The 22,307-nt window shown below is 38.2% G+C and overlaps 1 long non-coding RNA gene across 1 annotated transcript in view; it reads left to right on the top strand.

The window, feature by feature from the left end:
- The first annotated feature begins 2,811 nt into the window (after nt 1-2,811).
- LOC124902662 (uncharacterized) overlaps nt 2,812-22,307 on the top strand; it is a 46,307-nt gene continuing 26,811 nt past the window's right edge. Inside the window, exon 1 of the long non-coding RNA XR_007062656.1 lies at nt 2,812-3,095. This is a non-coding gene — a long non-coding RNA (uncharacterized LOC124902662). The remainder of the gene's footprint in view (nt 3,096-22,307) is intronic.

The raw sequence follows: 22,307 nt of genomic DNA, 5'->3' as shown, positions 1-22,307 counted from the left end.
GATTAAAGATAGGTCTACCTATGTTCTTGCACTTGCTTCCTTAGGTTTGTTATTGCCTATTATAGGGTGATTGTTGCATGAATGCTCTTAAAAATTGCAAGTTATTTTCCAACAATATCTGCTGCTTACCAAAATCCTTGTTACTCTCTTCTTCTGGGGCACACTGCTAGATTACATTTCCCAGCCTTTCTTGAAGTTTGATGTGGCCATGTGACTGAGTTCTGTAGAATGCAAGATAAGTAGAAGTGGTACACATCACTCCAGGTGCTTCTCTCCTTGTAGCTGGTTGTGATGAGAGAGTTTCCCTGGGGTATAGAAACCACATGTCAAAGATGGAAGATTCTTTGTCAGTGCTGTGTGGAACAGGAAGACACCTCTTTGCCCCCAACCCACAATTCTTTCATCTGCCTTTACTGGTTTGTAAACAACATGTAAATTTCTATTTTGTTTAGCCACCATATATTTTTGGATCTGTTTTTTTTCTGATATTAAGTTACCCAAATAATACCAAATGCCAACTCTTAACAATTCAAAAGGATCCAGCAGAGATGTTCCAACTACAGGTTGGAAGTAGGTCGAAGGGATTTGCAGTTGGAAGCAAGTCATTTCCTTAGGCCTGCAAGGGGTGGTGTCCTCCCTTGGGTATGTTTAATGGAGGTTCCAGGGCACTGCAAAACTTAATGTATTCCAAGTTACAGAACAAGCACCAGAAGTTCCTGTTCAGAGATCAGCCTATTGTTTTCTCACATAAAAAGACTTTCCCAGCAATAATAACAGTTAGATTTCTATTCCTGTTTAGGTTATCATCACCTTTGGCAGTAGCTGGAACCAAGGTTATACTAGGTCATGATAATCACAATTTAGTTTAAGTCTAGAGGATCCCAGGACTTTGTCTGACTTTGTCTTTTGAAAAACTTTCTGAGGTATTGAAATGGAGTCAGGAAGCAGTTGGTGTCTCTGTGACTCCTGTTGTTACTCTGGTAGATTGACAGGTTTACCCAGAAGGTGATGGTTTTAATGAATGAATGAATGTATGGGTTGCAATAATAGGATTGGGTTTGATGAAGACTTTCCTGGCAGTCAACTTAGGTTTTACCCTGGCATCTGACTGGAATTCTTTCTGAATACATTAACAGAAAAGCTAATAGGATGGGCACTTTATACCGTCTAAAGTTGGTAGGAGGAGAGGGAAGAAAGACCTTTTCTTTCCTTTGTTCCTGCTTGTTCTTTGGTGTTCACAATGTTTTTAGTGGGTGTGATGATGGCAGTGTGATGGACGATGCAATAGGAGAGGACCAGAGGCCATACGATGCTAATTAGATGTGAAAATATCTGAAGTAGTTTTTTGAGGGCACAATGACAATTAAGTAATTTCAGTTTTTAGTGTACATAATTATAAGATATCCAGTTTGTATTAGTCCATTCTCATGCCGCTATGAAGAAATACCCAAGATTGGGTAACTTATAAAGAAAAGAGGCTTAATTGATTCACAGTTCCGCCTGGCTGGGGAGGCGTCAGGAAACTTACAATCTTGGTGGAAGGCACCTCTTCACAGGGTGGCAGAAGGGAGAATGAGTGCCAGCAGGGGAAATGCCAGATGCTTATGAAACAGTCAGATTTCACAAGACTCACTCATTATCATGAGAACAGCATGGGGGAAATCACCCCCATGATTTATTTCCACCTGGTCCCACCCTTGACACATAGGGATTATTACAATTCAAGGTGAGATTTGGGTGGGGACACAGAGCCAAACCATATCACAGTTTTTCCAGAAATTTGCTCAAATGCTATGATCATTTCTAAGTATTTCCTGACAGCATCCCTCCTCCTCATTCCCCACAAGAAGTTGGTTGTATCCCTCCATACAGTTGCATTATACTAAGTAAACCTATCTACTATAACACTTATACTACCAAATTAATTAATTATGCAATTAATTTATTGACTTCCAAAAGTTTAATTGAACATCTATGCTGTGTCAGTTACTGCAAAGGACATAGGAATATAATCATGCATTAGACACAAGTATCTCACAGGCTGGCAGAGGAGACTGACAAGTAAATCAACAAGTGCAGGGAAGTGTGATGGGTATTATGACTGAAGTATGCACAGAGTGAATTAAGAGTTAGTGTCTAAAGGGTGGATTAAGTATGAACAGAGTGGATTAAATGTTTGACGTCTAAATTACACTGCAAGTAGTTCCTGGAAAAGCCTCTTGGAAGTGATGACCCCCGTTACAATTAAAGCTAAATCCATAAGGAGAATTGGGAGATGGCAAGGCGGAGGGTTGTCATTTAAGGTAGGGGGACTAGCACAGGCAGAGACATGGAGGTGGGAAAGAGCAAGATGCATTTCTAAGCTATTAAGTAATTTGGGAATGAGTGTGGGGGAAATGTAGGCAACATTTTGTAACAGTTGGGTTTTTCCTTCCTGTCTTTTCTTGATAGTTTTTGGGTTCTTGGATCATGCTTTATATATCTTTATATCCTGGAATCTGGAATGCCAAGAGTTTCAGTTAATTTTTGTTGAATGAATGAGAGTTGGCTAATATCAAGTCACTGACACACATGCTGGTCTCAACTCTCAGAGCTGCTGGTTTGATGTCCAGTCCTCTGGGCCTCAAGTCAGAATGGATATGGAGTTCTTCAGCTATGAAACAGCTGCAAGTTTCCTTGCAAACAACAAGAAAAGAAGCACTAAATATTTAAAGCTTAAAAGTTAAATATTATTATAAAAGTAATTTAATATAAATGACTTTCAGCAAATCCTTATCCATATTTTATGACTGCAATGGGTGTCTGATTTCTAATGTTTGTGAGCAATTAATTTTAATGGTTATGTACTCTCAATTTCCCTCTGTTTTTCTCCTTAGCAGATTCTAGGTCTGTCAAAGAAAGTGAAGACCTAGACATCAGATGTCACTGTGGACAGAAGGAGACATAGACCCCTGAGTTGAGGTTTTCAAATACAAGTTAATAGGCATTCAGAAGTTGCTAAGTGGCACATAAGCAGTGATTCCATAAATCTCTGAAGTACAGTATTGGCTTGGTGACATGATGCCTTTATTCCCTCATTGAATAGTTCCACAGAGGTAAGTGTTCTCTCCTTTGTGATTTCATAGTACCTTCATTAAATTCCCTTATAGCAAGAATAACTGTGATAATGACTGTTTTTTATTGAGTCTCTACTATGTAACAGATATCACACTGAGGCTATTATATTCTATTACACTAACCATGGAAAATTGGTATTTTATTCTCCATTTTTCAGATAAAGAACTGAGCTCAAACAATGCAGCTGCTCAAGTTCAAGTAAAGTTTTGTTTTTTTTTGTCTCTTTTTGAAATTCTCTATTGACAGGAGTCTCGTCAGTTTCTCCCTTCAAGCCCAGTAGCACAATGAAGAGGATAAGAGTACTCAGTGGATGCTCAGTAAATGTTTTTTTGAATGACTAAATGAATGAAGGCAAGAACTGGTACTATGAAAGAATAATAATAATCATCATCATCATCTTATATTAAGCACTTGCCACCTCACAAAGATCTTTTAAAGAAAAAATCTCTTCTGGGATTGAAGGGGTGACTGATTTCTCTCTAATGCAGTGTCCTCAACTGTACAAATTCTCATGCTCCTTTGCAAGGGATTTAGAGAGGAAAAGTGAGTCCCTTATCCTTCTCTTCCATAGCCTTCTGGTTCTAATCTAAGGGTAGAAGTGGCAACAAGGAAGGTTGGTTGTTTCTTGATTTTTGATCTTCAATTATGACTAAGTTCACTCTCCTTTTTATGCTGATAAGGGTCACCTTTTGATAATTTGGAAGACCCAACTTTGGCTGTGATAGAAGGGAGAGTTGTAGAATTGCATTGTTCTCTAACACTTGCACTATATGTTATGGGAAAATATTTTTGTCTTTGGTATTTCACATCTGCATCTTTTTTGCCTTGAATAAATATATCATAAATTTTTGCCTTGAATATATGTAAAGTTATGTAAATATAGTTAATTCTTCTAAATAAGTGCCTGGGATCACACAGACCATTTGCCCTTTGCAGTTTAACATTGAGTATCCCTGGTCACCTGATAGGAGAGCTCTGTAAGGGCCAATGTGGCTCTTGTGGAGGGTTTTGCTGAATGTCAGACAACAACCCAAATTCCCAAATTATGTCATCCCAGTGGGAGGCTATCTTTTTCAGTTCAATGGACATTGACTTCTTACTTTGGGCCAAGCTCTGTGCTAGGTGCTGGAGGGTCCTTAGCCAAGATCCGAAGGAATCCGTGGTGAGATGCATGTGGCAGATAGAGAAAAAAGCAGGTAGCATGGATATGCAATGCTTTGAGAACTAATGAGACTTAATGAGAAAATATGGGGGAGAAGAGGGCTGGAGTGGACAACAAGCTGTTTACAAGAGGGACTTGGGATTTGGATAGGTTAAATAACTCACCAATATTACACAGCCAGTAGGGGGCAAAACAGGGATTGAAACTTTGATTTCTCTAAGAGACAGTGAAGAGACAGTGTTACAGTTGCTTAGTCATGAAGAATCGTAAGACCTTGGTATGAAGTCTGACTTGTCTGATTAGCTATGTGACTTTGGGCATCTCGAATAATTTCTCTGAGCCAGCATTTTCTCAGCCTTCTTGATGCTGCTGCTTCAGAGGGTGGTTATGAGGATGAAATGAGATAACATTGGCAAGGTGCTGATCATCTTGCCTGGAAGCTGGTGAGAACCAACTAAATGGTAGCCGTTAGAATCTGCTGGAATGTATTTCTTTGTCAAAGCCTAACAGGGGTGAGGATTGAGAAAGAGGAAGTCCCACAGGGTCTTAGATAAGGTAGACTGTGATAGATAAGACAGTTGGGTTAGAAACTGTGGTTCTCAAACCTAGCTGCCCATTAGCATCACTTACAGAGATTTAAAAGCACAATCATCTCTGAACTCTATACCCAGAGATTCTTATCTGCAACTTAAAACAAGCTACCGGTGATTCTAACTATCCAACTAGATTGAGAATCATTGGATTGGACAATCCTAGGAGGCAGATGGCTTTGAGGTAAATTTTTGTACATCCCCACCTCTGTTTATCAGTGTGACTGGCATCTCAGCCAGTGGGTAACCAGCGAAGTGTCCTGCAATGAGCTCTGTATTGTAATATTGATCATTCCGGAGTGCTGACGGCAGGGTCACGTTGCTAACTAACCCAGCATCTGTAGACTATGTAGACTATACCCTGAAGGGGCATGATCAAAGTGACATTGCTGAGGTCAGGCCTAAGATTGATGTGTGGTGATGAGAGGTGACAAATTCAATCACAGGCCAGAAGGGAGTGGTAGAGCAGTCATACTTACAGGACCTCGGTATATGTATATAAGCCTTGGGCTACTATGCCTCTTCTCACCTGCCTAACCAGTGTTAATTTCTCCAGAACAGCAATTCCCAGCCATTAGTCACAACATGCTTGTATGTTCTAATCAATATAATAATGCTTTGTTATTATAATGAAGCACACGAATTTGTAAATAATTTATTTAAAAATTTAATAAAAATACATATTAGAATGAGATGAGGTTATCTCTGTTTTTCCTCCTCGCTTTTGCAACCAGCCAAGAGCAAGGCAGCAGCCATCATCTCTGCTTTGATAACTGCAATTGCCACTTGCTGCCCTTTCGCATCTATTCTTCCTCCTCCTTTCATTCTCCACCTAGCAGCCAGAGTAATTTTCTTAACATGTAATTCAGACCATGCCATGCTCCTGCTTAAACCTGCTGGTACCTTCTCATTGTGGTCAACATAAAATACAAACTCCTTCCCCATCCTCAAGGCCCAGTGTACCTCTTCATTGACACCTTTTTCTCTCCCGCTGGACCACTACCCTTGAGCTCTTGAAAGTGCTGAGCTCTTTCCAACCTCATGGAGTTTGCATCTTCTGTTCCCTCTGCGTAGAATTCCTTTCTTATTGTGAGACAGGCTCTCAAATATTACCTTACGGAAGAGGCCTTCCCTGACTCTGAACTGAAGTGACTTCCCCTGACACACTGCCCTCCCAACCCCATTACTTCCTATCACATCACCCCATTGATTCCCTCCATTGCAATGAACACCACCATTAATGACTAAATCTTACTTTTTATTTGTACGTCAATGTACAGCAGCTATTTTTCCACTTTCATAATGGAACCTCCATAAGGCAGGAGCCTTGTCTTTTTTATTGCCAGCACCTAGCATAGTGATATGGTTTGCCTGTGTCCCCACCTATATATCATCTTGAATTATAGCTCCCATAATCTCCTGGTGGGAGGTAATTGAATCATGGGGGCGGTTACCTCCATGCTGTTCTCATGATAGCGAGTAAGTTCTCATGAGATCTGATGGTTTTAGAAGGGGCTTTCTCCCCCTTCGCTCTGCACTTCTCCTTGCTGCTACCATGTGAAGAAGGATGTGTTTGTTTCCCCTTCTGCCATGAAGGTAAGTTTCCTGAGGCCTCTCCAGCCCTGTGGAACCATGAGTCAATTAAACCTCTTTCTTTTATAAATTATAATTTATAAATTACCCAGTCTTGGGTATGTCTTCATTAGCAGCATGAGAATGGATTAATATACATAGTATATGGCATGTAGTAAACATTTGATAAATATTTGTTGAAAGAAGGAATAGTTCAATAATTCTGTCATTCTTATACATTCTGAAATACTTTCTAGAGGAGAAAGATAGGTTGGAATGATAGCTGGCTGTAAGTGGCACATAAACTGGGCAGGCCTAGGGGAACAGTCATTTATTTAGTCAACAAATGCCTGTTGAGTATTTGATTGTCCAGGCACTGTTCTACGCACTGAAAATACAATTATACACAAGGTAACAAGTTCTCCTGCTCTTATGAAGCTTATGGAAAATATTAACAAAATGAACACGATTATTCCAGTAAGTTATAAGTTCTATGAAAACATTATTCATGACAGGATGGTGTGGTCAAGAATGATGGGGGCTACTGTAGACAGGGTGGACAGGGAAGGCTTCACTGAGGAGGGGGCTTTTATGAAGGATCCCCAGGACAGTGCTTCCTAGAAGGATCTTGTATGAAAGAAAAAAACTTTCAAAGTCACTGCTTCAGGAGATAATACTAAAGCTTTAATTAGAATCCACTTAAGTCAGATGCTATTTTGTTCCCTAATAGTGATTAGCACTGTCCTGGGTAATTAACAGCCCTTAGATTTGGGAGAAGATATAACTTAATTATCCATCTGACCTTGATTTTGTAAGTGTTGGGCCAAAAAGAAGGAAAGGGGCCAGAATATAGCTGGGGAATGGAGACAGATGTAGACCAAGCTCTATCCGGCTGAAAAGGGATCCACTGGGCAAATGGGGAATGGATTTCCTGCAGGGAGGTAAGATTCCAATGACTGAGCAACTTGCTGGTTCTTTCACACTAGATGTCCTGCTCTCTGTTTCCATGCTATTGCTGGTGTGACCTGGCCCAAGACATCTGCATGCCACCAGTGACTTTGCTCCATTGCTTCATGCACACCCACTTTTCTGGAGACTAGAATTTCAAGCTCACGGTTGCTAACCCCATCCCTACTTCAGCCTCCCTGGCTAAGGTGGGCTGGTCACCATCCAAAGCTAAGAGATCCCCTTCTAATAGAAGCGACAAATTCTTCATGCCCCCTCATTTCCTCCTCATTCGATAAATCTCTCCTAAAGTCACAGACAGTCAGACTCTGGAAAGTTGTGAATGAAAGAGATCAATTTTTTTTCCAAAGTAGGGAAAGTAATTTGTGTCTTTAACTTTTAACTTTTTTTTCCTGACTCTAATTTCTCCTTGTCTTCCTCTCCTTTTCTTCTACTTCCATTCAAGTCTGCTTTGGACTAGAGTTTCAGATTAACTTTCAATTCTTTCTTTAGTAGATTTTTAATTATCCCAAAGCCACACTGAGAGCAGGTCAGTTCAGAGGCTCCAGGCAGCTTTGCTCACATCTGCAGACCACGTAGGTATAATCTCTATGGCAACTGACCCATGTTGGTTAGGAACAAATAAGCTGAAAACCAAAGGTTAATTGCTGTTTCATTTCTGCTTCTTTTTTTCCCTTGCAAGTCCAGCATTGTGGATGGAAGTTCTAATTAAAATCAAATTATCAGCAGATTGAGCATCTTCTTTATAATTTCAGTGGTTGAAAAATTATTCTGGCTGCCTTGAAAAGGGAAAGCAATAGATGGTTTCTATTGGCCTCCATGGCTCCTCTTCCCACCTCTAAGGCAAAGACAAATAGCTTAGAGGACCCAGCCAAATGGCCTGGATCTTTGCTACACCTAAGAACAGTATGCACCTTCACTGTCACTTGATTTTGTTATTAATACTATCACTGATAGTGCTGACCATATTGGGAATTTACTTTCTGCCATGCACTGTGCTAAGCACAGATGTACATGATCTCATTTAAATTGTGAAGCAACGCCATGAGAATCTCTACGTTCTTAACTCCTTCTTACAGATGAGAAAACAGCATCAGAGGTATGAAATAGCTTGCTCAATGCCAAATAACTAATAAATTGCAGAGCTGGGTTTCGAACCCAACTTATCTGATTCTAAAGCTCTTAATCTTTAGTTGGATCCTCACATATGCACCTTGAGGCTCTGAGGTGGTTAGAGAGGCTGGGAGAAGGAGACGACTTGGTTTTCCTTGTTAGTCACTTCAAATCAATATGCTCAGGTCATATGTTGGGCTTTATGTCCCCACACAAAGCTCATCTCAAATTGTAATCTCCACTTGTTGGGGGAGGGACCTGACGAGAGGTGATTGAATAATGAGGGTAGACTTCCCCCTTGCTGTTCTTGTGATAGTGAGTGAGTTCTCAGGAGATCTGGTTGTTTGAAAGTGTGTGGCACTTTCCCCTTTGTTCTCTCTCTCTCCTGATCTGCCATAGTAAGATGTGCTTCCTTCCCCTTCACCTTCTGCCATGACTATAAGTTTCCTGAGGCCTCATAGCCATGCTTCCTGTACAGCCTGTGGAACTATGAGTCAATGAAACCTCTTTTCTTCCTAAGTTACTCAGTCTCAGGCAGTTCTTTAAAGCAGTGTGAGAACGGACTAATATATCAGGGATTTGGTTAAACTCATTATCTTCCCAGTATTCCTGAAAGAGTAATTATAAATTTAGGGAATCATGCTACACATTAAGTCTTATATACAGTTTCTTTATTTTCCTAGGATGAAAAAAATCAATATAAGGTCTTTTACTTGTCACCTTTAAATATAGTGCTCTTGTGTTCATTTCTTGCCTTTGCTCAAGTCTTCTCCCCCACTGAGGAATTCTCCTTCCCTTTCTATATTTGCCATTTGTGCTTCTCATCCTTCGAAGGCCAGTTAAAGACACAATATTCTTTATGAAATGTATTTTCTTTGATAACAATAGCTCACATTTTATCATTTATCATGACTTCTTTATAAACATTCACTTTCTGAATTGTACAGTAGTAGTTAACAATTTAAACTGCAGCTCAGATGTCCCGGATTTGAATCCCAGCTTCACTATTTAATTTAATACTTCAATGTTTTTGAGCAAATTACTTCTCTCTGTGCTCAGTTTTCTCAGCTATAAACTGGAGATCATAATAGAATCTACATTTTAGAGGGTTCTTCTCAGGATTAAATGAGTTTTCACAGGTAAAAGACTTAGAGAAGAATGCAGGCTGATAGTACGTGTTGCTGTTAGGTCCTGTCTTATTCATTAGTTGTTTTGTTTAATATTATTCAGGACAGAACTTTAATTCAAACAAATTTAAGCACAACAGTGGAATATATTGGCCCTATAAGTGGGAATTTCAGTGACAGACCTAACATTGGGATCACTGGATCCAGAGACTCAATGGTATCACTCAGCAATACTTTCTCTGTGTGCTGGCTTGATCTCAGGCAGGTGCTATATTTATGGTGCTCCCTCCATCACTAGGTTTATATCCTCTCACTGAAAGACTCCAGAGGTTAGGCAGCACCTCCCTCCTCTAACTTCAGTAAAAATTCTGGGGCTGGTTTTAATTGTTCCCGTTTACATCACTGAAGCAGTGGTTGTGGCCAGGAGGATTCAGTAAACTCACTGGCCAGGGCTTGGAGACAGAGAGTGGGGTTAGCCCTATTCAAATCATGTGGCCAGAGGGTTCTCCAAAGAGGAATCAGGGCATATGCTTATTTCAATGTCTGTCACTGCACTTTTATGGTAAGGCCTTATTGGGAGAATAGTGTTGGACTCATCTTTCATACTTAACATTGGGCAGAAGCTCAGAACAAAAACTTCCTGGTGACGGCCTTGCATGTGGTGTCTGCCCGCAGGACTAGGAAGTGAGCTGCTTGAGCTTTAGCCTGCAAACCTAGATCCATTCAAAGCTGCCTTGGAAAATCAGCACTTGGGAGAGAAGGAGCGAGGGTGTGAGCAGGACAGAGGGAGAAGAATGAGATGTACGGGAATGAGAGGCACCTTCATCTGCATTTGTAATGTTTTATTTATTCACAGAAGGATATAAAGCAAATACGGAAAGATGTTCATATTGGTTAGACCTGGGAGATGGGAACTTGAGTGTTATAATAGTCTTTGCCTTTTCTGCATGATATATTTCATAAAAAATCAATACAAAAACAACAACAAAACAAAGCAAAATCCAGGAGCAGGAGCTACTTAGCCAGACAGCTTTTTTCCTTCTGATTTTCTTGTATACCAAAAGAGAGAAGTTCAGTAATCACAGAATCCTAGGTGCTTTTCTGATGAATGTCATTTGTGAAAGCCCTTTCTGCTCTTTTATCTGAGAGGAAACATGAAGTTCAGAGTCATCTTCAAGGAAAGTTCAACAGCTTCTGGATATGAATTGGAGAAAGCTTTATTTGAAACCTTTTATGAGGAATAAGAATGTCAAAATTTATGATAATCATAATGATCCTAGTAATAATAGTTATCCCTTATTGAGAACTGATTCTCAGGCACTGTGCTAAGCACTAAATGTATATTATTTTGTTAAATTCTCCCAACAACACTGTGACGTGGGTAGTTCTGTTACTCCTACATTATAGATGAAGAAGTAGAGGCTCAGATGAGTTAAGTGACACATCCAAGGTCACACAGCTATGATATGTGGAACTTGGTCTCAAACCCAGGTCTGTCTGGTTCAAAGGCCGGTTTGGCCCCCACTCCAAGTTATTTGTTTACCCAGGAGTAGGTCTGGGCACCAACAGGCTTTGGCAGTTAGTATTTCCCTCCCCAAAGAGCATCATTAAGCACACTGGCTCTGAAGTATAAATGCCAGGCTGAGCCATGCTGCTTACTATGATTTTTAATCTCTCAAGCAATGTGAGCTTCAGGTGTACGGGGATAAAACGGTGGAAAAGAGCACTTTCTTCATTGATTTTCCTGAGGATTAGATGGGGATGTGCATTTAAAATGCTGCACACAGTGGTTGACAAACAGCAAGTGCTCAATAAATGTTAATTTTGTTTCCTGCCATTTCAGACAACATGGATGAACCTGGAGTGCATTATGCTAAGTGTAATAAATCAGACACAGAAGGATAAATACTACATGATATCACTTATACAGGGAATCAGAAATAGTCAAAGTCATAGAAGCAGAGAGTAGACTGGCGATGACTAGGGGCTGGCTTGGGGAAGGGGGAACTGGGAGGTATTATTCAAAACATACGAAGTTACATTTTTGCAGGATGAATACTTCTAGAGATCTACTGTACAGTATGGAGCCTATAGTTAACTATATTATAACTGTATGTAAACAGTTATATAGTTAACAATAGTTAACAATAACTGTATTATATAATTAAAATACTTTAAAATGCTAAGGGGGTAAATCTTAAATGTTCTTATCACAAATAATAATAACAATAAGGTGAGAGGAAACTTTGGTGGTGATGGATATGTTTATGGCATAGGTTGTGGTGATGGTTTCAATGAGTGTATACTTTGTCTCCAAATTTATCAAGCTGTATACATTAAATATGTACAGCTTCTAGTATTTTAATTATACCTCAATAAAGTGTTTTAAAAAGAAAAGGGAAGGTCTCACAAGTCTACTCCACGTTAGTCTATTTCATCAAAATAGAATCTCTCAGCATCTTTAAAAATTAATTTTTATCACATGAATCAACATTATGTGATTCTACAAGGCTTTTTAGTGAAAATGGACAATCCTTTTCTCAATCCTTCTTTACCTTTGACATCTAAGAGTCAGCCACTTTTGGTTCTTTTAGCTAGCTATTTTTCTGAGACTTTACCTTTGATTTTTTAAGTTAAACTCTTTATTTTGAGATCATTGTAGATTCACATGCAGTTGTAAGAAATAATAAAGAGAGACCCTGTGTACCCTTTACCCAGTTTCCCCCAATGATAACATCTTGCAAAACTACAGTACAATATCACAACCAAGATGTCAACAGTGATACAGTCAATATACAGGATATTTCTATCACCCTACGGATCCCTTATGTTGGCCTTTTGTAGCTGCACCCACTTTTCTCCTGCCTCTATACCCTCCTTTGCCCCTGGAAACTATTGCTTATCTGTTCTCCATTTCTATAAATTTGTAATTTCAAGCAGTTTATGTGAATGGAATCATACAATATGCAACTTTTGGAGGTTGGGTTTTTTCAACCAGCATAATTCTCTGAAGATCTATATAACACCCTTTGTTGTATGCATCAATAGTTCCTACTCTTTCTTCTCTCCAGCTTTGTTGAGGTATAATTGAAAAATTTAAATTGTTTAACGTGTATAGTATGACGGTCGGCTACTTTGTGAAATTATTACCACAATCAAGCTAATTAACATGTCCATCCTCTTAACATATCCATCACCACAATTCTGTCCTTTTTATTGCTGAGTAGTATTCCATGGTTTGGCTGTATCACCTGTTCTCAGCACTTTTTACATTAACACTCGTTGTGTATTCACAAGGACCCCGGATTTATTGTTAGGACCAACACCGCTTTCTTTTATTTTCGTTCCTCTCTGTAAATGTATGTTAGTTATCTTTTTCAAAATGATGCCTCCCAGCTCTTTCATGTTTATTTCCTGCTTTTAAAAATACCCCTATTTGTCATCCCCCCAACAATCTGAATTATGCTCTAAGAAAATGAAGGAAATCTAAAAATTTCTCCTTCTACATAATTTCTCTCTGTAGTGTTTTCATTGTTGGGTGCAGAAGTTCATTTGGTGATTTGCATGGAGCATTTGAAGGATCACAAGTGACCCAGTTTAACGATAACATAAGGAAAAGTCTTGATGGGGTTAAAGTTATGTTCCAACCATCAAAAGCTACACCTGGGCAAGGGAGAGCTGGGTGCTGGGCTGCATTGTCTAGAACATCCTCCAGCTGCTCTCTCAAGATGACATTAGTGACACCAGGAAATGACTTCCCTACATAATTGCTCCTTACATTCAGTTTTAGCAGCAAAATATTTAATAAATGTGTCTGTGTTTAAGGTGCAGGTCAAGAGGGAAGTGGGTTTTAGTGCATAAATAATAGATTTTCTAAATTAGTTTATTTCTCTCCTTGTCCACCTGGGTCCTTATTGCCTGCTTCTTTGGAATCCTCTCCTACTTAGCCCCACTCACAGTTCTTCTCAAGGTCAATGGTAGCAGGGCAAGTCAATTAAAAAAACTTGTCTTCCCTATTCAAGATTGCAAACATTTTAAGGGAAAGGGCTACTTATTCCCATTTTTCCCATTTTTAATTGTCACCAGCATAGTATCTTTCACATACTAAGAGCTCAGTTAATACATTTTTGTTTGAAGTGTTCTTGGTTCACAAAGATGTTATTTAAATTAAGTTTGTCTGTTTCTGGATCTTTGAGAAACATATTTTTCAGATTTTCCTCCCTGCCCACTTTTTCTTTTTCTTTTTTTTTTTTTTTAAACAACTCTAAAATTTCTTTAAAGGGCTTTGTTTGCCCATGTCCTCCATTTCTACAGAAGAGGGGACTGGGAATCAGAAAGCATCCTTTCAGTCTTGGATTCATTATTTACTAACTGAAAGATATTAAGCAATTCAATCTCTGTAAAATGGAAGTGGTAATGAATTATCAGGTTGCTGGGGCAACTTACAGATCAGTCTGCTCAGAACTTTCCAAATACAAACTAAAATATTTCTGTTGCCCATTGGGAAAGGTACAAGATGGGGGTGGGTAAAAGAGAACTGTTTCTATACGTATATACGGAGATGGGTATGCCAAAAATATGGACACTGACATTATTCTTCATTGCATATATTTTAGGGCCTGTATTGAGAGGTTTTTGATATCTTTCACTTTAATTATTTTACAAAGGCTTGCCATACATTTTCCCCTTTCATAAGGTAAAATCTCTTTATATAATTTGTTGCAATTAAGAATTCCTTTGGCTTTTCCTGCAGAGCTCTGGGGATATAGTTTTTTCTTGGAGATCTTGGTGGAACGAATTAATCTACATTTAAGCAAAATTAGAGATTCAATTACATGATAACTTTAAAAGGATAATTATGTTCGTAATGCCTTTAGCTTTATTGTCATAACTGATTTCTGAACATTCCCATCCAGTTTGGCCTCTAACTGTATGCCCAGGGTCGATGGTGATTCCCTCTTTGCAACATGTGGTTTTCATAATCTGTGAAGCATGGTCGCTCCCCTCAGGAAGGTGTTGGGACACCAAGATGCCCGAAACATTGACCATTAACCTAGATACTTCAAGATGATGGATTGCATAAGAACAAGTATAGAGAATTGTTACCGAGAACAGTTGTTGCTGAAATGTCAAACCAAGAGGGGGACACACTGGCCAACCATTACTGCTTGAAAATCAAATTAAATGGAAAGACACTAATATTTCTCTAAAATCTGTCATGTGCTACACACTGGGAAAAGGTTTTACATATTTTATTTACTCTCCACAATTAGTATCATTTCATCAATGAGGAATTGAGGGTCAGAAATGCTGATTACATAGCATGCATAAGTTTATACTCATAAGAGGAAGATTTGAATATGGATCCCTGACTCTGAGCTGATGATCTTTTCAGTGGGATGTGCTGACTTGTGGTGGAGGAAACAGGGTGACTTGGATGTGAGGGTAGATGACGATGCTGATGTTACAGGGGGGTTCTGGAAAGATGGTGACATGAACCTAACTCTGTTTTCCATTCAGTATCAATCAACTCCAATATATCTTCTTTTTGAGATGATTAGTTGGGACCTAAATGTTGCTAAGTGGAAATGAAGTTGTGGGCTCTGTGGAAGTCTTACGGGACAGAACTGGTGCAGTGCTTTCTGAGCTGTGGGTGGATGAATGTCTGGATACCAGAGAGCCTTGAGAAAGGGATTGTAAAATGGGGATGCTGGGAAGAGTTTGGCCCAAAGAGGTTTATGGACTCTGAAAAGAAGTTTGATGGTCTTCTGTGTGTGAGTAAAAGGTCTCCATGATACCTGAGACGCCAAGGAGTAGCCAAAAATATGACTTTAGTCATCCCTTGAGGAACAAAGATGCTTCCTGAAGAGGACTAATTTGTCTTTCTTCACTTGTAGACTGCTACCTGGTAGGATATTCCAACAACAACACCTGATCTCAGTGATCAAGAAAAGTAAGAGTTAAGACTGAAGCAGAGACAGCAAGGTCCAGCAGAGCACACAGAACACAGCTACAGACGGAGCTTTTGAAGGTGACAGATGACAACGTGGACAGAAAAATAAGAAGTGCACTTAAAGAGACCCAAGTACAGCTTGAGAGAACTTTCTGGAGCTAAAAAACCACTTCCCACATTCGTAGATAAATAAGGGCAAAGATGACCACTGTGAAGACAAATTACTGGCCTGAAAGAGCAATTCGAAGGTATTTCTCAAAGACTGAGTAAAAATGTAAAGAAATGAAAAACAGAGGAAAAATATAAAAGGTTTAGAGGATACAGCCATGAAACCCAATATGAGAAGAATAGATGCTCTATGTCATGAAAAAAATATGTGATTTGTAAAGAAAATATACGTTATAAATTTTTATATATATCAAACCAAAGGCACTGCATATATAAAGAAGAAATGCTAAGAAATGTCAGGAAAATTTGCTAAACATACAATGACAGTGGAAGACTTCAGTACTTCTCTTTCAGAATTATATAGGTATGTTAGATAAAAGTTACTTAAGGCCGGGTGCGGTCACGCCTGTAATCTCAGCACTTTGGGAGGCCGAGGCAGGTGGATCACGAGGTGAGGAGATCAAGACCATCCGCGCTAACACTGTGAAACCCCGTCTCTACTAAAAATCCAAAAAAAATTAGCCGGGCGTGGGGGCGGGTGCCTGTAGTCCCAGCTACTACAGAGGCTGAGGCAGGAGAATGGCGTGAACCCGGGAGGCGGAGCTTGCAGTGAGCCCAGATTGCGCTACTGCACTCCAGCCTGGGCGACAGGGCGAGACTCTGTCTCAAAAAAAAAAAAAAAAAAAAAGTTACTTAAGAACATAAACATTTATTAACACGGTAGATTTATGTATACAAGTAATTATATGTGTATATTTTTGTGTTATATTTACAAAAATCATCATAAATTTGAAGGCAAAAAAATTTACAAATCAAACATGCTGAGATTTTATAGTCCACCTTTTTAAATAGTGGTTTAATATACTGAAAAAGAATAAATGCAGATGAAAACCACAATGAGATGGCATCTTACACCAGTCACAATGGCTATTATTCAAAAAGTAAAAAAAGAACAGATGCTGGGAAGGCTGCAGAGAAAAGAGGATGGCTGGCAGGAATGTAAATTAGTTCAGCCACTGTGGAAAGTAGTTTGGAGATTTCTCAAAGAAAAAGCAGAGCTACCATTCAACCCAGCAATCCCATTACTGGGTATAGACCCAAAGGAATAGAAATTATTCTACCATAAAGACACATTCATGTGTGTGTTCACTGAAGCACTATGCACAATAGCAAAGACATGGAATCAACCTAAATGCCCATCAATGGTAGACTGGATAAAGAAAATGTGGTATATATACACCATGGAGTACTATGCAGCCATAAAAAAGAATGAGATCATTTCCTTTGCTGCAACATGGATGCAGCTGGAGACAATTATCCTAAGCAAGCTAACGCAGGAACAGAAAACCGAACACTGCACGTTCTCATTTATAAGTGGGAGCTAAACATTGGGTACATTTGGACACAAAGAAGGGAAAAACAGACACCAGGACCTACTTGAGCGTGGAGGATGGGAGGAGGGTGAGAATCAAAAAAACTATCTATTGGGTACTATGCTTATTACCTAGGTGACAAAATAATCTGCAAACTCCCATGACATGCAAGTTACCTGTATAACAAACCTGCACATGTACCCCTGAACCTAAAATAAAAGTATGAAAAAAAGAATAAAAAGTTGATACCCCCAAATCTTACAATATTAAGCAGCATAGTCTTAGATAACTATTGGGTCAAATAAAGGAGAAATTGTGGCTCATTTAGAAGGCAATATAAAAGACAGAGATGACTTAATATGCGATTGTAAGGGGTCTCTATATTCATTTCCCAGGGCTAATGTAACAAAGTACCATAAACTGGATGGCTTAAAACAATAGAGATTTCTTCTCTCACAGTTCTAGAGTCTAAAAGTCTAATATCGGGGTCTCGAGAGGGCCAGGCTCCCTCCTAATACTCTAGGGAAGGATCCCTCTTTATCTCTTCTAGCTTATGGTAGACACAGGCATTCCTTGGCTTGTGACAGCATAACTTCAATTTCCACCCCCTTTTTCATGTGGCCATCCTCCCTCTTTATCTGTGTTTGTGTCTCTTCACCTTTTCTCTTACAAGGACACCAGTCATCACCACCAGTTAAGGTGGATTAGGGGCCCACCCTAACTCAGTATGATCTTATCTTAACTTGATTACATCTGCAAAGACACTATTTCCAAATAAGGTTACATTTACAGGTACCAGAGATTAGGACTTAAACATGTTGGGGGACACAATTTGACCCATAATAAAGATAAGTGAAAATTGTATTTAGAGGAACAATCTTAGCTTTAACTACTTTTATTAGTTAAGAAAGAATATGGTGCTCATCTTTACATTGATAAAGAGGCCAATAACATGAACCAAATGACTTGGGAGAAGGAAATAATTAAATATAAAAGTTGAGACAAATTAAATATAAATCAAAAAGGCTAAAGACTAAATTTAAAGATTGGTTCTATGAAAAGAACCAGATAAATCCCTAATAAGCCTGATTAGGGAAAATGGAACAAGAAACAAAAATAAAAGATTAGAAATTAGTAAAAGTAACATGGTTACAGATATTGAAGAAATTAAAATAATAGCATTGTATTTTAAATTGTAAGATTAAGAATTATGAGCATACACTATACATCTACTATGTAGGAACATTTTGAAAATTTAGAGCGAGGGTTTGCAAGAAAGACCCATGGGCAAATCTGGCCCATTGCATGTTTCAGTACGATTCACAAGTTGAGAATGTTTTTCACAATTTTAAAGAGTTGAAAAGTAATTAAAATATATTATTTTGTGATATGTGAAAATCATATAAAATTCAGAGATCAGCATCTATAAATAAAGTTTTATTGACACACAACCACACCCATTCATTTATACATTGTCTATGGCTGTCTTTGTATCACAATGGTAGAATTGAACAGTTGTCATAGACTATGTGCTCCTCAAAGCTTAAAATACCTGTCCTGTTATAGAAAACAGGACATTATCTAGTCTCTGACCTAGAGGAGGTAGATAATTTTCTAACTAAATACAACTTATTCTCGAAGAGGTGAAAAAGTTGATAGACCAATTGTCAGAGACAAAGATGGAAGGATAATTTTAAAAATCAACTGTTGAAAAGGCCACCAGAATAGTAGATTTCACTGATGAGTTTCATTCAAAATTTTTAAGGACAGGTACTTTTTATATTATTTAAAAAATTCCAGGCCATTGAAAAAAACAAAGTTCTTCAATTCATTTTATGAATACAGTAGAAGTTTAACGCCAAAACCTGATAAAAAACATAGTACAAGAAAGAGAACTGTATACAATCTTACAAATATAAATTTAAAAATTCTAAAAAATATTAGAAAATGGAATGGTGACACATCTATAACAATGCTTTCTATTATCAAGAAGAGTTCTCTTCTAGAAATGCAAATGTTATTCAATAGAAGAAATTTAGCAAGAAAATTATAGAACTATATCCTTCTATCAATAGACTTAAAAATAATTTGATAAGCAGCCATTATACATTTTCCATTAAAATCAGGAATAGATAGTGCTGTCCATCATTGTTATTGTTCAGTATTTTCTTGGAATGTTGAACAATTTCAATGCAATTAGTAAATGCAAGAAGAAAAGAATATTAAGTAACATAAAATATTAGAAAATAAAAAGATAATATTTTCTCATTTTCTGACTATATAATATGTACCCAGATAATTTAATAGGCTTATTGCAAAACCATTAGAATTGGTAAGGGAATTTAGTAAGTAGTTGGATGGATATACAAATATAAGTAGCTATTTGTGGTTTTATCAATAAGCACTTCAAAAGGTAAAGAAAGATAAAGATCCATTCACAAAAGTTAAAAAAACTGTAAAGTGCCTTTAAATCCCAAAAAACAAAATAATAGAAATTTCGTAAAAAATTTAGGTGGTTATATGTATCAAATCAGTGAGATGTTAAGCTTTTTGACTACATGCAAATAGCTATAGTAAATAGCACAAAGTCAATAGACAAATGACAGCTTTCAAAAAATAATTATTATGCTGATGAATGACAGATAATTAATATTCTAATCTATATAGTCTTCTTAAAAACGGACACTAATGGGACAAAAGACCCAAAAGGAAAAAGAGCATGAATGCATGCACGGACACGGACTACAAGTCCAAATGTCCAACAGACACATTAAAAGAAAGTCAAATTCAACAGTAGTTAGGAAAATGCAAATTAAAATAGCAATGAGATATCACTTCCCAATATTCAGACAAGAAAAAAATAAAAAAGACTGATCTAGGGGTGCAAGAAATGGGTACTCCTATACATTGTGCTGAAAATATAAATTGTCATGGCCCTTTTGAAGAGTCATGTAACATCTATTAATTTAAAAATAGAGGCTTTGAACCTAATATTCTACCCTCAGAAATCTGTCCAATACACTAAAATCACTACCATAGAAGCATATATATACCAGGTTACTTATTACAACATTTTAGGTGGTAAAAAATTAAAAACTAAGTGAATACTTACTATTTGGGGATTGGACATATAAATTATTGTAGGTTCACGTCATGAAGTATTATGCAGCTTTTTAGAAGCATTTATGAGAGCTGCACTATGTCTCTTGATGTGGACAAATTTCCATGAAGTATGAGTAAAACAAGGTACTTGTGTGAAAGAGAATGTGTGTAACTGTATTTGAGTATTTGAGCATGGAGAAAAATATAGGACAAATACCAGTGATTAACATGCATTGTCTGAGTGGGACTAGGAAAGAAGAAAAGAGGTAGGAATCAAGGGAAAAGAAGGATAAAAAGAAAAAGATGGAAGTAAAAGATACCTAGAGCATACATAAATTTGTCTTGCGTATGCATTTTTGAACACATATGTGTACGTGTTCAAAGAAATAAAACTGAAAAGCCAGATGCCGAATTTTAAGTCAGTGCTCTTCCTTTTCTCTGTTGCACTATAACTTGCAAACTCCTTTGTTGCCATCTGACAATTGTTCTAGCCAAATGGAAGATTCCAGTTAAAAGTTCCAATGACTGTGTCAGAGAGGGCATAAAAGTCAGCTTCGGCCCTGTCTAGGGTCAAGGATCAAAGGTTCTCAGTTGAAGAAATCTGAGATTTTTAGCATATTACTTAGAATTTAGTTCTGCGCTTTTGGACTTGCTTTGTCTTCAAATGCATTTGTTTTTACCAGGTCTTTCTTTCCAGAACCATGAGGCAATGAGAAAGGAGTCATAGGTCTGGGTTTAAGTCCTGGTTCAGTTGCTTTCTTTTTGTTGCAATGTTGATTAAGCCAGTGGTTCTCAAAATTGAGCAAGCATCGGAATGACTTGAAAAGCTCGTTGAGACACTGATCTCTAGGTCTTACCTCTAGAATTTCTGATTCTATGGGTACAAAGTGGAACCTGATAATTTGCATTTCTTTTTTTTTTTTTTTGAGATGGAGTCTCACTCTGTCGCCCAGCTTGGAGTGCAGTGGTGCTATCTTGGCTCACTGCAAGCTCCGCCTCCCGGGTTCATGCCATTCTCCTGCCTCAGCCTCCCGAGTAGCTGGGACTACAGGTGCCCACCACCATGCTTGGCTACTTTTTTGTATTTTTTAGTAGAGATGGGGTTTCACCATGTTAGTCAGGATGGTCTCGATCTCCTGACCTCGTGATCCACCTGCCTCGGCCTCCCGATAATTTGCATTTCTAATAAGTTCCAGGTGATGCTGCTGCTGCTGGCCCAGGAACCACACTTAAGAAATTACTGAATTAAGCCATTCAGTCTCTTGGAACATCTCCCCACCCCCCATAGTTCCCACAATGCAAAATGAAAATAATAAGAGGCTTGTGGTCTGCTGGGGCTTTAAGGCTTTTATGACGGATTCAGTTCTTTCCTTTTGTAAATGAGGAAACAGTGGCTTAGAGACCCATGCTTATTGACAGAGCCAGGTTGGAAAACCAGGTCCTTTGAGTTGTGGTGCGGTGTCTGTAGCACCCCACTATTTAATGCTGTCTGGGTCACAGCCTTATTGCAAGGGGACATGAGATAATGCTGATGAAAGGACTTCTATGAAACACAAAAGCAAGGGTTATTATTCTCATTTATTGAGTACTAACAGTTAAGCAGTAGTGGTCTTTGAAGGGGTCTATTAAGCAGCATCCTTCTTTCATGGCTAAGTTCTAAGCCAATTGAAAAATAGCATAAAACAGATACAGGATGAAAATATTTCATTACTGACAAAGGTAGTTTGAAGGATAAAGCTTGTATCTGTTGATGATGGATTTCCAAATGCTAAACTCAAGAATTAGAATGGGAAATAAAGGTTTTCTCTCTAAAGCTTGTAATGTCAAGTACTGTGTTTGCATGCTTGATCTCATTTAACCATTTCCACAATCCTAAGAAGTAGATCATATTATTACAGGCTGAGTATCCTTAATCAGAAAATCTGAAATCCAAAGTGCTCCAAAATCGGAAATTTTATGAGTGCCAACATAATGCTCAAGGCAAATGCTCATTGGAGCATTTCTGATTTCGAATTTTCTAATTAGGGATGCTTAACTGCTAAGTTTAATGCAAATATTCCAAAA

Source organism: Homo sapiens, chromosome 11, assembly GCF_000001405.40.
Source record: "Homo sapiens chromosome 11, GRCh38.p14 Primary Assembly".
NCBI classification, from domain to species: Eukaryota; Metazoa; Chordata; class Mammalia; order Primates; family Hominidae; genus Homo; species Homo sapiens.
This window is presented reverse-complemented; position numbering and strand designations above follow the sequence as displayed.